Below are 15,841 nucleotides of genomic sequence, written 5' to 3' on the forward strand. Positions count from 1 at the left end.
CTTTTGTGTGCCTAAGAATCACTTGGGGAGCCTGTTAAATATATATATATATATATATATATATATATATATATATATATATATATAAAATATGTATTTATATATATAAATAAATTGAATATATATTATGTATATATGTGTGTATATATATACACACATATATATACACACACATATGTATGTGTGTATATGTGTGTGTATGTATGTACGCGTGTGTATGTATGTACGTGTGTGTATTTACATGTATCCAGTGAAATAGTCTCTGGAACCAGCAGCTTATGTTTCTAAGCTCTCTCTGTGTTTCTGAAGACAGCTTGGTGTGGAACCTTGCTCTGCAATCAGGGGCAACTCTGGCCTTGGTAGAGGAAACTTCTTCTCAGTCCCTGCCACCCTAGAATCCCAAGAAGGGCAGCCTTCACTTTTTCAGCCTTCTCTTCCCTCCACCGCAAGGAGGTGTGTGGGCAAGAGCTGGCTCCTCTGGGCTTGCACCATACCTGAACATGCCTCATGTCACTGGTTGCATGATACTGTAATTATATATATTCCTGTCTGTGAGTACCCACCTGAGTGCTGGGAACTCATCTTGTTTGCCTTCACATCCTCAGTGCCAACCCATGACTCAGGTAGAATAAATGCTTATTGGATAAATTTAAATTAATTTATTGTGTTAGTAATCCCTATCTATCACAGCAGCAGTTCTCAAACCTTAGCATGCACAGGATCATTTGGAGGTCATATTAACAGACCGTTGGGCCTTTCCCCCAGAGTTTCTGATTCACTAGGACTGAGGAGGGGCTAAGAACTGGCACTTCTAACAAGCTCCCAGGTGACAGCCATACTGCCACTGCTGGTGCAGATCCACAGCTGGGGGACCCCTGCATGAGAGTACCTTATCTTAGCTTTTTTTTCTTGTCTATAGAATTCTGGGCAGGTTTTGTTTGTAAAAACTTGCCCAGAAAGATTAACAACAGCTTTCAAAATTGCAAATCAGTTTGCCACGGCTTTAAATGTCCAATCACATCAGTCCACAAACTTAGGTATGACAAAAATCTATCTTTGTGATGCCATTGCTGAATTCATTTTATCTCCAAAGGCTCCCAAGGGCTAGAATCCATAGTCCCTGTGGTATCCCAAGAACAGTTTTGACACGCAGTTAATTGCCATATAAATATTTGCTGAGTAGATGAACAAGTGATGCCAGAGTATCTTCTAGCCTTCACACTTCCTCTGCTTTCAGGGTCATTTTGTGCCCTGCTGTCACTGCTACCCATGACTCTAGCAGGTGTGATTTATGGTATATTCTTTCACCAAGGGTTGGGTGCTGGTTCTCCCTCTTCTCAGCCTGTGCATGACCTTCAGGGAAAGGATGCCAGCTCTGTGCTCTCAAGGATTGTGGTGGAAAATGTAATTCTCCAGCCTTTTCTCTTTGAAAAAAAACTGAAGTACAACTCTTATCAATCAAAAGACTTAGGCTTTTAAATTTACTGATTTGCTTTTGAATTTCATGCACCTTATTTGGAACTCAAAGCCAAAAATTTAACCCTTTATTCTGTCAACTGAAGAATGATAAAGTTCATAAATTTTGAAAGAGTGCTTTATTTCTCATAAAGCAGCCTGCAGAGTGGCCATTCTGACAGGCTGAAAAGTGTAGCCTCTGGTCAGAAGCTGAAAACAGACACTTCAAGGGAGGGGCAAATGGAATGGGAATTTAAGTTGAGTGAGGTGGCTGAATATAAGTATTCAATAAGCTATTTAAAAACTCCTCAAATATTTATGAGAGAAGAAACGTGCACATGTGCAAATGAGCTTCATACATGGGCCCCATGTACAAAAAATGGCAGTTTTAGCATGATCACAGGGTAGAGGTTTTGGCACATGACATCAAAGGGTAAAGCAGAGAACACACAAACCCTTACTGTTCATTCTCCATGGACTGGAACTCTCTTATCAGATTTCTGTGATTGATTGTCCCTTATCAGGCAAAAAGGAGGGATAGCATTAAGCAGTTGTTGATGTCAGTGGTGGGGTCTTTTGAAAAAGATGGCTTATGTTTAGCCCTTAGGGAAGGAATCTAATGGTGGTTAGCAAGGACAGGTATATAATGAAGTGTGTCTAACCTCCTATCCTGCCACGGCCGAGAACTCAGTTTTTTTCATGGTTACTCTGGGGTCCTGTTGGCCTAGAGGAGGTCTATTCAGTTGGTTGAAGGGCTTAGGATTTTATTTTTATTTCTCAGTTCATAGCAGATATTTTTCTGTTCTTGTAAAACAAGGAATCTCAGCCTCACTATCTAGTTTTAATGTTTCAAAGCAATAAAATAAAAGGAATAAAAAATACATGAATTAGTATTTCAAAATAATATCAATGCTTTATTTTTGTTTATATCATATTACATCATCCTCACCATCATGCTAACAAAACAAAATCCCATACAAAATGTTTGTTACAGAGTGCAAATGCCTTTTGAAGATATGGTAGCATCAAATGCCGTTTGAAGATATGAAGATGGGTAGCGCTGGAGGTGCCACCCACATTTTGTCCATCTTTAGTGATGGAGCCTGAGGCTTGGAAGGAATTCTTACAAACTCATTCATGGTGCAAGCAGTTCATTTCCACTCAAGGAATTTCTCAAAGGGATTCTGTCAAGATGCTCCCAAATCAGAGCCTGCTCTGTGGCAGCCTGTCACCAGCAACATCATCAGAAATGCAGATTTGCTCTGATGTCAAGAAGAATGAAAACAGGTGTCAGTAGCACTTGCAAAAGAACATACCTCCTGTGGCCATTTCAGTTAATTCAGCCAGGAGAAATTCAGGACACAGACCTGGAAAGTGTGAAGGAACCTGGCAGAATGAATGAGCGTGCTCTGAAATCTGGGCATACTGGTGCTCTTGGCTCCTACTCATTTTCAGGGTGCCCAAACTGCAGTTTTAAAGAGCAGCAGGCAGCTCTGCAAACACTGAGGTAAGATGTTGAAGGAAGGAAAAGAGTATTTATTGTCTAATCACATCCCAGGATTATTACTGAGTGCTCTGCAGACATTATCTAATCATTAAAACAGCTCAAATGCTAACCAGTAATGCAGGGATTCTGCATTTTACAGACAAGGAAACAGATTCTGTAACTTGCCTAAGATTATACAAAGCCGGATTGGAACCCTGGTCTATAACTTCAAGCCCATGCTCTTTCCATGACAACATGTGTTCTCTTTCAGTGGTCACAGTTTGGTTCAGAGCAAAGAGAGAAAAGTGGCCAAGACTGACAAAGTGGAACAAGGAGACTTGACCCTTTTCAAATGCCACAACTCTGCTGGTCTTGCATGATAATGTGTCTGCTTTACCCCTCCCCGATGCAACTCAATGCGGGACAGAGAGAAAAACAAGGACTGTGTTTCGTGGTGAGCTTCTCTAGGTCAGAGGTGTTGGAAAGGGCAGATTGTTAAAGGAGACACAGACAAAGGGAAGCAGGTGGGCCATCTCTTTTAGAGAGTTTCTAAGACTGGGCTTAGACCACTTCCCCGCCCCAAACCTATCCCCTTAGGATGCTTACATAGGGATTTTTAACTGAGCGCAAAATTTTTAATTCTCCAGGAATGGGAATGAGAGTACGGTAGGATGTTTGTTTATATGCAGTTGTAGAGGGGAGTATCCTTTGGCACTAATAAAAGCACACCCAAACAAAGCCCATTGGTTTATTTGGAGATACTTGTCCAAGTGAACAGGGACAGTTTAAAAATAAACACTTTTTAAATTTTATTTGGAAAAATGTCCTTCTTCCAGCTCTCTATAATGTGACCTCAGGTGACCTTTCTGATTTGGGTGAGTTTCACAAAAGATCCATTTGGGAATGGCAACAGCCTTGAAAGCTTGACCGGACTCCGAGAAGCCTGTCTGAGAGCTTCCCAAAACATTCTTCCCTGATGTTCACCAAACACCCCTAGGTCAACTTGGGAAGGAGAGCCGGGCCTCATTGGTGTGGGGCCACTGATGCTCCTTAGAGGTACTCATCCCCGACTGTGCCCATTTGAACACAACCTCTGCTCCCAGTGTCTTTACTGTTCCTTTGCTCTGCTTTATGTCAGCTTTTCTGCGGCCTTCCATGTTCCCACTTCATTGGATTCAACTCTGTTTAATCTAGTCTAGAGAATTCTCTTTCCAGACACTGCTCGGCACTGCCTCAACCTTACCTGAAGTTCATATTGCTTTGAATTGTTCCTTTTCTTTCCTTTAGGGAGCAGCCATCTTTCTTATCAAGTTTCTTAACAACAAACACAAGAAATCCTGCTACGGCTGTAAACTATCTGTTACCAGTCCGTCTCTTTCGAAATTAAACATGATGAGGATTATATTCTCTTCTGCAAGTTTTGGTAATTCAACGTGGTAGAAACAGAATGGCTTTTGAATCAAATACATTTATTAACCAGATGAGTTTGGGAAAATTCGATAATATTCCTGAGGCCCAACTTCCTCATCTGCAAAATAGGTATATGAATAATTACCTCATATTATTGTAGGAAAGATTAAATGAGATAAGACATCTATCACACTGCCGGGTTGTCAGGTATATAGGCAAAATAATAAATGATTAATAAGTGCTAGGTCCTTACCTCATCCTCTTCAAAACATTACATATCTTCCAGAAAATACCATGGTTCTTTGTCTAAAACCTGTCTTCACAAACCAACAACTTATACCACATTGCTCTCAAGTGGGATTTGCAAAGCTTGTCTTGCAGAAGAGATACATGCAGGCTCTAAGTTCAGAAAGCATAAATGCTTCCATTTATCCTTCCCTGGGCCTGCATGTCTGCGAAGGACAAGAAAAAGATTTCAATGGCCTGTTCTGTCAATAAGGCTTTTTCTATAGAATATTCTATTTTAAAATAACAGTTGCTTGTTTTTAAAATGAGTTTAATCAATGGTGTAAAACCAAAAACCACTTTCACTTTTGCAGTCTTGGATTTCCTTTCCCCACTCCCTGATGACAGCTTAAGTTAGAGCTCATAGTTTTCCTATCACTTCCAGCTATTTTTGAAAACAGTTTTAGTTAGTGCCTAACTGACTTGGGGGTATTAAAAGGTCTGATTCTATCTAGTATCAAAACTTGAACTTCACAGCCAGTTCATAGCTTCTCCCTCTATCCTTCCGCTCTCCACCAACTCACAGTTGGCTCAGAACCCTACAGTAGGGAAGGATTGATGTAAGGACTTTGACCTTTCTCCACTGAACTTTCTGGAGCTTCAGAATTAGGGGAAGGGAGAGAGATTAGAGGAAGGCAGGAAAAAGCCCAGTGTGACTGGTGCTATCCCTGCTAGTGCTGATGGGCTGTTCTGGTCTCCCTTCTGGCAGGCCTACATGTGCTGGTTTTGTCAAGGCATCATTTAGCGTTCTGTGGAGCCCTCCCCCATCCTCACTGCACACCTTCAGGATATTCTCATTCCCTGACATAGACAATGAACTCTTCAGCAGACTCGTAGAGGCCTCTCTCTCTGGTGACCATCTGCAACTGCTATTTCTCTCCATCCTTGAGGACCTCATGCGTCTTTCCACAGCAAATGAGGAAGCCCTAGCTCTCTCTCTGCCTTCCATCAGTGGGTTAAGGGGCTTCTTCAGCTGTCTACCTATCTTCACAATATTCCAGACAGAAATCAGGCATCAGTGTTTATATTCACAGGGACCCTGGTCTACAGAAAACCCATGCCAACTTCTTGCCATGCTCCATCTCCTCCACTTTAGTGCACCTGGTGGGCCCTGGAGTATCTGCAGCTCAGTGAACATGCAGCTGGAAGTGAGATGCCAAATATCTCCCCTTGAGACAACCCCAATTGTGGTTAGCATGCCTCTCAGATCCCCAGTACTTGTCTAGGAGGGTAGGAAATGCCATGCTGGCCCCACTAGGCCAACAGCTTTCCTTCCTTGGTGATCATCTTCTCTTATATAGGCTGACGGTGGCTGGAGGTGAGTGATAGTTTTGATGTCTATTATATCAGACAGGATCTAATGTCTTTCAGTAGATCTAGCTTAGACATGTCAGGCACTTCATTTTAGTATGTGGAGGCATCTTTTGCTTATTTTCTCTGCTTTAGGGCTTCAACTAAACTTCCAAGAAAACAGAAAAAAGCTCCATTCAGCATCCTCTTTTAAATTCAAATAATAAGTGACATCATAATTGTTACTGTTATGCAATATACAAAATATATTGTATTCATTCTTAGGATACAACTAACATCAGATTTTAAAACAGAACCCAGCTGTCTTTCTTGACTCAATCTTTAAAAATTACTACTTTATGAAAACTTGCCTTTAATTTCTACTTTAAAGAATTTAAAGCCTTCTGTATGTGATGCTGGAGAGAGTCAGACAGTTCACCAGCGGCTCCAAGGCAACAACGATAGTATTAGGTTGGTGCAAACGTTATCGTAGTTTCGGACCGTAAATTTTAAATCATTGTAACTAAGCTCAAACCCATTTTTATTAATCAAAATAGGAACCATTACAATCAATACTTTTTGCCAAAGAGAAATAAGTTTGCTTATTCCTGTAGCATAAAAATCCCTGCTTTGGGATTGGATGAACTCTTGGAAAGCATTTTCTGCATTCTGCTGGTTGTGGAAGTGTTTTCCCTGCAAAAAGTTGTCGAGATGCTTGAAGAAGTGGTAGTCGGTTGGTGAGAGGTCAGGTGAATATGATGGATGAGGCAAAACTTCGTAGCCCAATTTGTTCAACTTTTGAAGCATTGGTTGTGCAAAGCATGGTCAGGAGTTGTTGTGGAGAAGAATTGGGCCCCTTCTGTTGATCAATGCTGGCTGCAAGCGATGCAGTTTTTGGAGCATTTCATCAATTTGCTGAGCATACTTCTCAGATGTAATGGTTTAATAGGGATTCAAAAAACTGTAGTGGATCAGACCTGCAGCAGACCACCAAACAGTGAGCATGTCCTTTTTTTGGTGCAATTTTGGCTTTGGGAAGTGCTTTGGAGCTTCTTCTCAATCCAATCAATGAGCTGGTCGTTGCTGGCTGTCATATAAAATCCACTTTTCATGGCATGTCACAATGCAATAGAGAAATGGTTTGTTGTTGCATAGAATAAAAGAGGATGACACTTCAAAGCAACGATTGTTTTTTATTTTCACTCAGCTCATGAGGCACCCACTTATCAAGCTTTTTCACCTTTCCAATTTGCTTCAAATGCCAAAGGACCATAGAATGATCGACGTTGAGTTCTTTGGCAACTTATCTTGCAGTTGTAAGAGGATCAACTTTGATAATTGCTCTCAACTGGTTGTTAACTTCTGATGGCCAGCCACTGGGCTCCTCATCTTCAAGGCTCTTGTCTCTTTTGCAAAACATCTTGAACCACCTGCACTGTACATTCATTCCTGGGCCAAATGTGTCATTTATGTTGCGAGTTGTCTCCACTGCTTTATGACCCATTTTGAATTCGAATAAGAAAGCCACTTTAATTTGCTTTATGTCTAACATCATTTTCATAGGCTAAATTAAACAAAAAATAAACAGCAAGTTATAAGTCGTTAGCAAAAAAACGTAAAATGAGAAATACCCGTTAAAATGACATATAACACAACCACATTTTTTAAAGAATGCATTCCAATATTAAACGCAAATTCCAACAATACAAAAACCTCAATTACTTTTGTACCAACCTAATAACTCTTTTTATTCAGCACCATGGTCCTATCAAGCATACACTAGATACTTGACAGATATCTTTATTTTAAAAAAGCAAGTTGCAAAGTGGGTATTCTCATTCCATTCATTCCATTTCACAGATAAGGAAATGAGACATAGTAGTTAAACAACTGGATCAAGGTCACACAGCTGGTAAACACTGAGCATGGAATTCTACCTGCCTGGCTCTAGTAGTTACAGTTTTCCATGTCCATGATACAGCCCAAACATCTGCTTACAGCTTTGCCTACTTATAAAGTCACATCATAGTAGCTTTTTAAGAGAAGTTTTTCCAAACTGGAGTGCACCTCCACTATTCGAGGGGAAAATGGGCTACTGTGAAGAGAGAAGAGTATTGCAGGGCCAAATAATTCTGAGCAATGGTGAGTTATTAAAGTTAAATACTTTGACTTGGCCAGGCACAGTGGCTTACACCTGTAATCCTGGCACTTTGGGAGGCCGAGGCATGGGGATCACCTGAGGTTGGGAGTTCGAGACCAGCCTGGCCAACATGGTGAAACCCCATCTCTACAAAAAATAAAAACAAAAATAAAATTACCCAGGTGTTGTGGTGCATGCCTGTAATCCCAGCGACTCAGGAAGCTGAGGCATGAGAATTGCTTGAACCTGGGAGGTGGAGGTTGCAGTGAGCCGAGATCATGCCACTGCACTCCAGCCTGGGCGACAGAGTGAGACTCTGTCTCAAAATAAATAAATAGTTTATTTACTGTACCATTCCTTAGAGACTGTAATATGCAGATGGATATTTTGACAGATTAGGGGCCAGTAAATTACAGGGTATCTCAGTCTTATTGGCCACTGATATGGTTTGTCTGTGTCCCCACCCAAACCTCATCTTGAATTCCCAAGTGTTGTGGGAGGGACTGGGTGAGAGGCAATTGAATCATGGGGGCAAGTCTTTCCCGTGCTGTTCTCCTGTTAGTGATTAAGCCTCATGAGATCTGATGGTTTTAAAAAGAGGAGTTCCCCTGCACAAGCTCTCTCTCTTTGCCTGCTGCCATCCATGTAAGACCTGATTTGCTCTTTTTTGCTTTCCACCATGATTGTGAGGCTTCCCCAGCCACGTGGAATTGTAAGTCCAATTAAACCTCTTTCTTTTGTAAATTGCCCAGTCTTGGGTTTATCTCTATCAGCAGCATGAAAACGGACTAATACAGCCACATAATCTTTTTTAGGACATTCCTATTGACCTCTCCTGTCACAGAGCTTGTAGATCAATGGCCTCCTGGATCTGTGCAGAGGCTGGTGGGAGATGGACATTGACATTAGGCAGGCTCTGCTGCATGGCAGCTGCAGAAGGAGCTCACATTTCATCAATTGCTTTTTAATGACATCTCCTTCAACACCCCCTTCCCCTAAAATCTCTGTTCTTTAACTGCTTCTTCCAGATTACCAACAGAAAAGACAGAGGAGGACATATCTTTTCTTCCTTCCCAAAGCACCCTCCTTTGTTGCTCCTGACCTAAATGTAGTCACACAGGCAGCTAAATCACAGTCATGGTGAAGCCAGCCCTATTCATCCTTCTCAATGATACCATTCTTCTGGACTTTTCAAAATAAAGAATCTAATAATGCTCCATCTTTATAGAAAGCAATTTCTTTAATTTTAGGTGAATTTGATGATTTGGCTTTTATTCAGAGCTCTTTTAAGGGCCTTATTCTTCTCCTTTCTTTTTTTGTATATTTGGAGACATTTTATGACATGCAGAACAGAATAGCTCTAAAGCATAATTACATAACTGTGAAAGATTCTCCTGTCTTTCACAACATAATACTTTTCCTTGGCCATATCACTCACCTGCCATCTGCTCCCACTCCTGATATTCCTGTGGCCATATTCTTTTCTTTTTAGAGGCAGTAACTTGAACTGCATCAATTCCACTTATATTCTATAATGCTTAAACTTGTTTTTAAATATTTTTAAATTTTAGAATAGTTTTAGATTTACAGAGAAGTTATGAAGATAGTACAGAGAATTTTCATATACCCCATGCCCAGTTTATTGTATTATATTAGGATGATATATTTATCACAGTTAATGAGCCAGTATTGATACATTATTTATTAACTGAGTTCACATTTTATTCAAATTTCTTGTTTTCACTTCTCAAAAAACAAAATTCCATAGCTGATTTTCAGCACCTAAAAATTAAGTGTCCAGTGTTATATTTCAGAAGGGTAAAGGAAATTTTCCTGTCTCTTCTTCATGGGGGTTAGCAATAGGCAAGAAACCCCCTCCAAGGCTGAGGCCTCATCAACATTCAGCTTTCGCCTGATTTAAGAGCTCCATTTCTTGATCCTGCCACCTCCCCCATACAAGTTTCTTTATAAGATCTGGGAACTAGATCTTTATAAGGCCTGGGAACCCCAGGCCAGGTGCGGTGGTTCATGCCTGTAATCCTAGCACTTTGGAAGGCCGAGGTGGGCAGATCACGAGGTCAGGAGATCAAGACCATCCTGGCTAACATGGTGAAACCCTGTCTCTACTAAAAATACAAAAAAAATTAGTTGGGCATGTTGGCAGGCGCCTGTAGTCCCAGCTACTTGGGAGACTGAGGCAGGAGAATGGCATGAACCCGGCAGGCAGAGCTTGCAGTGAGCCAAGATCCCACCCTGCACTCCAGCCTAGGCAGCTCAACAAATTGAGTTCAAAGATCAAATTGACTTTTATTAGTGATTCATGAATCAGGCAGCATCCATCTATAAAATTGAAACCCATCTTTCAATGGGTTGTTTTGTCTCTTTTACATACCATTTCATTATGTGTGTGATATGGTTTGACTCTGTGTTCCCACCCAAATCTTATGTTGAATTGTAATTCTCCATGTTGGGGGAGGGACCTGGTAGAAGGTGATTAGATCATGGGGGCAGATTTCCCCCTTGCTGTTCTCGTGAAAGTGAGTGAGTTATTACAAGATCTTGCTGTTTGAAAGTGTGTAGCACTTCCCCATTCACTGTCTCTCTCCTGCTCCACATGTGAAGAAGGTGCTTGCTTCCCCTTCACTCTTCCGCCAGGATTGTAAGTTTCCTAAAGCTTCCCCAGCCATGCCTCCTGTACAGACGGTGGAACTATAAGTCAATTAAACCTCTTTTCTTCATATATTACCCAGTCTCAGGTAGTTCTTTACAGGAGTGTAAGAATGGACTAATACAGTGTGTTTTTTCCTCTCTTTCTTTCTTTCTTTTTTCTTTATTTTTTTCCTTGTTTGCTGGCACTGCAAGTTACTTCAGGCTTATCTTCTGCATTCCCTAACTTCATGCACCAATTTGCTCTGTCACTTTTTTCCATATTTTTGTCCCCCCACTCATAGTGCTTAAGTTGAAATCACAGATCCTGTGGTAATTAGTATGTTTTCAAATCAATACAATGATTTGACATGACAGACTGCTCCGGTAATTTTTAATGTTAATGAAACTGCATTTAGAGAAGATTTAGGCTTATTGTGAATTATTTAATTTATATAGCCAATTATGAACTGTATGCATGGATGGAGAGAAAAGAAGATAATGGAAAAACAGAGATAAGCCAAAATCATTTTTATTTGACTTGAAATATTAAGACACCTACAAGTGAATACCTTCCCCTCCCTCCCTGACAACTGCAACAGAGTGGTGGGGTCCATTTATCACTGTCCTGAGACTGGACTGGATGAGAATTGGGGAGAGCTTCAGTTTCCCCAGAAACCACATAAACTCAATATTCAAGACTTGCTGAGAAATGAAACATCAAAAAATAAGATGATTACAAAAACACAGCATAATTAATCTGTTTGCTTTTAAAACATCTGCATCAGGCCAGGGAATTTCTGGTTTAACACATACAGTTACAATGGATAATTTCTTACTGTCTCTCTTCCACAATCCAAAAGCATCCCACTTGAAGTCTAATTTTCATAAATGACTTATGATGATGGTGAGCAAAGGAATTCTCAGTATCAAAAAATCAGATTGTCAACATTTGACTGACAATTTGAAGGAGACTAGAATTCTTTTTGCGTGTGTGTGGGTATCATTTGTTAATTTTTATTGCTGAATAGTATTCCATTGTAGGGATATACCACAGTTTGTTTATTTGGTCACTTTTTGGTGGTTGACATCAATGAAATGTTGACATTTAAGCTGTTTCCCTTTTTGGCTATTACAAACAAAGCTGCTATGAACATTCACGTATAAGTCTATGTATGGACATATGCTTCCATTTCTCTTAGTAAATATCTTTGTGTAGAATAGCTGTCCTTTATGATAGGTGTACATTCAACTTTGTAAGAAACTTCCAAACTGCTATCCAAAGTCGTTGTAATTTTGTATTCCCAATAGTAATCTTTGAGAGTTCTATTTCCTCTCCATTCTCAACAACACTTGGTATAGTTGGTCTTTTTAATTATAAACATTCTAATAGGTGTGAAATATAAGTTCAGGAAGAGATATTCAACATCATTTTTATTTAGAGAAGGAGACTAGAATTCTTTTTGTGAATTAATATATATGGCAAATTAAGGAAGTGTTGTCAACATTACATTTTAAAAAATAAAATGTTTACTTAACAATATTTCCATTTCCTAAAAAAAATAGAATTGTGTGTAATATTGTGCCCCTACCAGACAGAAAGATCCAATAAAGTGATGATATGGAGTGGTCTCAAAGTACGAAAGGACTGGGCATAGTGGCTCATGCCTATAATCCTAGCACTTTTGGGATTGGGAGGATTGCTTGAGGCCAGGAGTTTGAGACCAGCCCCCTCTCTATTCAATTTTTAGAAAATTAAAATAAAATTTAAAAAATTGCTCACTAACTATGGTCTGAAAAAATGAATAATAACTGTTATATTTTATATATATATAAAACCATAGACATTATTGTAAGCAGATGTTCTCATACATTTAAGTAGTTTATAGAATTGTTAACCTAAACCTCATTAATATTTTAAATTTCTTGAGAATTCATTTTACAACTAATTGATCCTGTCTGGATCTCCGTGTAACCCTGTACTTCAGCAAGTATGTCTTAGTGGATATAATCACAAAGCAACTTAATTTTATTATCCCACTATAACTTTAATGTTATTTAGCTGAGGTGGTTCCTCCCTCTTTCTGGATCAAAAGGCTAGCAATCTCCTAACTCTCTGGTTAGTTTCAAAATTACGAAGTCCTATAATTCCGCTAAAGGCCAAGCAAAGTTTCAAATTAGAAATTAGAAAGGTCACCCTTACTTATTAATCAAACCTTCCAGCTTCATTCAAGTCACAACTGTTTCCCCTCCCACCAGATGGAACATATTCTGGGGAGAAAGGGGTTACAGTGTCTTCTCTCTTTCTAGCTCTTTCAGAGCCCTTGGAGGTTGGAGAGAAGGAAAAAGTTTTCTGTAAAGAGAGTTGTGGCATGAGTCTTAGTCCGCCGTCAGAGCTGGGAAGTGTTCATCTCTTTGTTGTGAACCAAGAGAAAGGAACTACAGAGGGATCATTTGCAGAGCGTGATATGTGTACCCTGAAATTAGAAGGACCCAGTACACTGGTGACTAACTCCCCTCTGAGAAATCTGGAGGATAAATAATGGGCTGACCAGCTGATACAAATGGTGCTGAGGGAAAGGTGGCTGCCAAAGGAATGAGCCTGGACTTCAAGTTTGTCAGGGAAAAAGAAGCATGAGTGTTTCTCATGATCCACTGGAGATAGTTTTAGATCCTGTATAATGGGGCCACTAGAGAAGGGATGGGACCTGCAGTAGCTACAGCAGAGGCTGGATGCCCAAGTGTAAGGGATGAGCTGGAGCAGTGTTATCACTGGCATTAGGGGCTGTGCAGGTGAAAAATCACTCATGGGGCTGGGATCCAATAACCCACAAAAGCACTCAGAAAACACACAACACCTCCAAACACCAGCCGGACTTAGAAAACAGAAGGCCAGCTCAATACACGAACAGTCGAAGAAGGAACTTTCCTTCCCTTCTAATCTTCTTTTTTCTGAAAGAAAAAAAAACCACCATGCAGATTCCAATGACAGTAATCTAGGGGTGAACCAGAGCAAAGGCATTTTTCAAAACATCTCCAATGATTCTAACATATATCTGGAGTTTGGTGCCAATGGTTTGGACTAATCTTCAATTATCCATGTCAAAGGACAAGTTGGGATAATTGCAGGTTCTGGGAAGAACACAGATAACTGAATTCTATAGACAACCCCAAATCTCATTTTTGTCAATGGCTTCAGACTTTTTATATTTTAACTAGGTGATAATACCAAAATTGACTGTCTTGATTTCCTATCTTTATTTCTGTCACTCATGATAAGATGGAGGTGCTAATTAACAGTGAAATGGCCTGAAGACAGACAAAAGGCAAGAGAAAAAGAGGGAAAGGAGTGTGTGGATCCAGAAATTAGTTCTTTGTCCTTGTAATTGCAGGGTTAACAGGCATATGGTGCTGTGTGCCAGAACCCAGTAAGAGAATTCTACAAATAACACATTTCTTCTCACAACCACTCTGTGAGGCAGGTTATTATCCCCATTTTACAGATGAGAAAACTGTGGCACGAAGATGATGTTAACCTGCCCAAAGTCATAAAGCTAGCCAGCAGTGAAGCCGGAATGGTACCCAGATTATCTGACTCCAGTCTGGTTTTTTTTTTTTTGAGATGAAGTCTCGCTCTTATCCCCCTGGCTGGAGTGCAATGGTGTGATCTCGGCTCACTGCAACCTCCGCCTCCCAGATTCAAGCGATTCTCCTGCTTCAGCCTCCCAAGTAGCTGAGATTACAGGAGACTGCCACCACGCCCGGGTAATTTTTGTATTTTTAGTAGAGATGGGGTTTCACCATATTGGCCAGGCTGGTCTCGAACTCCTGACCTCAGGTGATCCGCCCTCCTCAGCCTCCCAAAGTGCTGGGATTACAGGCTTGAGCCACTGCACCCAGCCTCAGAGTCCTTTTTTAACCAATACACACGTATGCTAATAAGCTCATGAGCAAAACGTGTGAGTATATTAAATAGAAAAAAAATCGGAAGAACTCTGTAGTAATCCTTCAGAAAGTCTAAGAAGCATATTTTTGAATGGATCCTGAATGCTTTTTTTTTTTTCCTGGTTATACTGCTGACTCACAGTGTGGAATTGAGAGAGCCAAGTGTAAAGGGGTCCCCACTGAAATTCCAACCACCTGCGCACTGGGAGGAATGTGCACTGGGGTGAAGCCACAGAAGTTCACGCTGTTTGCAGTGGGGAGGAGCCTGGCCCCTCCTCTTCCTGGGTGGAACCTGGGATTCAGTCTGGGAGGCAGGAAGCCCACTAGAGCAGGACTCTCACTCTGCTGAGGGTCCCTGTTTCCCTTTTTTCCTTTTTGCCCAATAAATCCCATTTTTCTCACCCTTCAAAGTGTCTGCGAGCCTAATATTTCATGGCCATGTGACAAGGACCCCATCTTTAGCTGAACTAAGGAGAAATCCCTTCAACAGAATCAGTTTCTGAGCTAACACTTTAAAGAAATGATTATTTGCAAATTCAAAGCTAGTTTATTATTAAATATTTTGGTACCTGAAAGGTAATACAATTTACCTTGAAACTAAATCCCTGAGTGAAGTGATTGATAGATTATTGCTACTATTCTAAGAATATCTGCTTAAATAAACAGATTCTACAGAACCTCTTTCCACACTCACCACTTGTACAGTTTTCCTGAATAACACAATTTCTATCTTGCTTCCCCATTTGTATTCATTTCACCTATCAGGTAAGAGAGCCTTGATTCAATCAGGGTTTTATTAAGCCCTCGTCATGTACTTAATTCTATATCTCTTTCAAAATGTCATAATCTATCGTCTCATCATGAGCTGCCTCTAGTCAGTTTATTAGTGTCCTACGTGTTCATGATGTGCTTTGCTTTCCACCATGCTAATTAAATTACTTGTTGGATAAATTATTGCAGAATGTTCCGGATGATGGCGATCAGACAAATGTCAGGGTGCTCGTTAATATTTCCTAAACACTTGCAGGAAGGAAAACATTGCTATTTTGCTCTGGTCCTCTCCCTCTGTCTCTGAAGACTGGCAGACATCAGTATTGCTACAAGATACCCTGAGCTGACTCTAGGCCAGTGGATCTCAACTTTGGCTGCGCATTGGAATCACCTGGAAAGCTTTAAAAAAATAC

The 15,841-nt window shown here is 40.4% G+C and overlaps 1 long non-coding RNA gene across 1 annotated transcript; it reads right to left on the reverse strand.

The window, feature by feature from the left end:
* Positions 1–3,675: 3,675 nt before the first annotated feature.
* LOC124903155 (uncharacterized) lies at positions 3,676–4,732 on the reverse strand. Its single transcript, XR_007063756.1, has 2 exons — positions 4,605–4,732; positions 3,676–4,469 (listed from the first exon to the last, which is right to left on the reverse strand). It is a non-coding gene; the product is annotated as an uncharacterized LOC124903155 (long non-coding RNA).
* Between the last annotated feature and the right edge of the window lie 11,109 nt (positions 4,733–15,841).

The sequence above is a fragment of the Homo sapiens genome, chromosome 13 (assembly GCF_000001405.40).
Source record: "Homo sapiens chromosome 13, GRCh38.p14 Primary Assembly".
In the NCBI taxonomy this organism is placed as follows: Eukaryota; Metazoa; Chordata; class Mammalia; order Primates; family Hominidae; genus Homo; species Homo sapiens.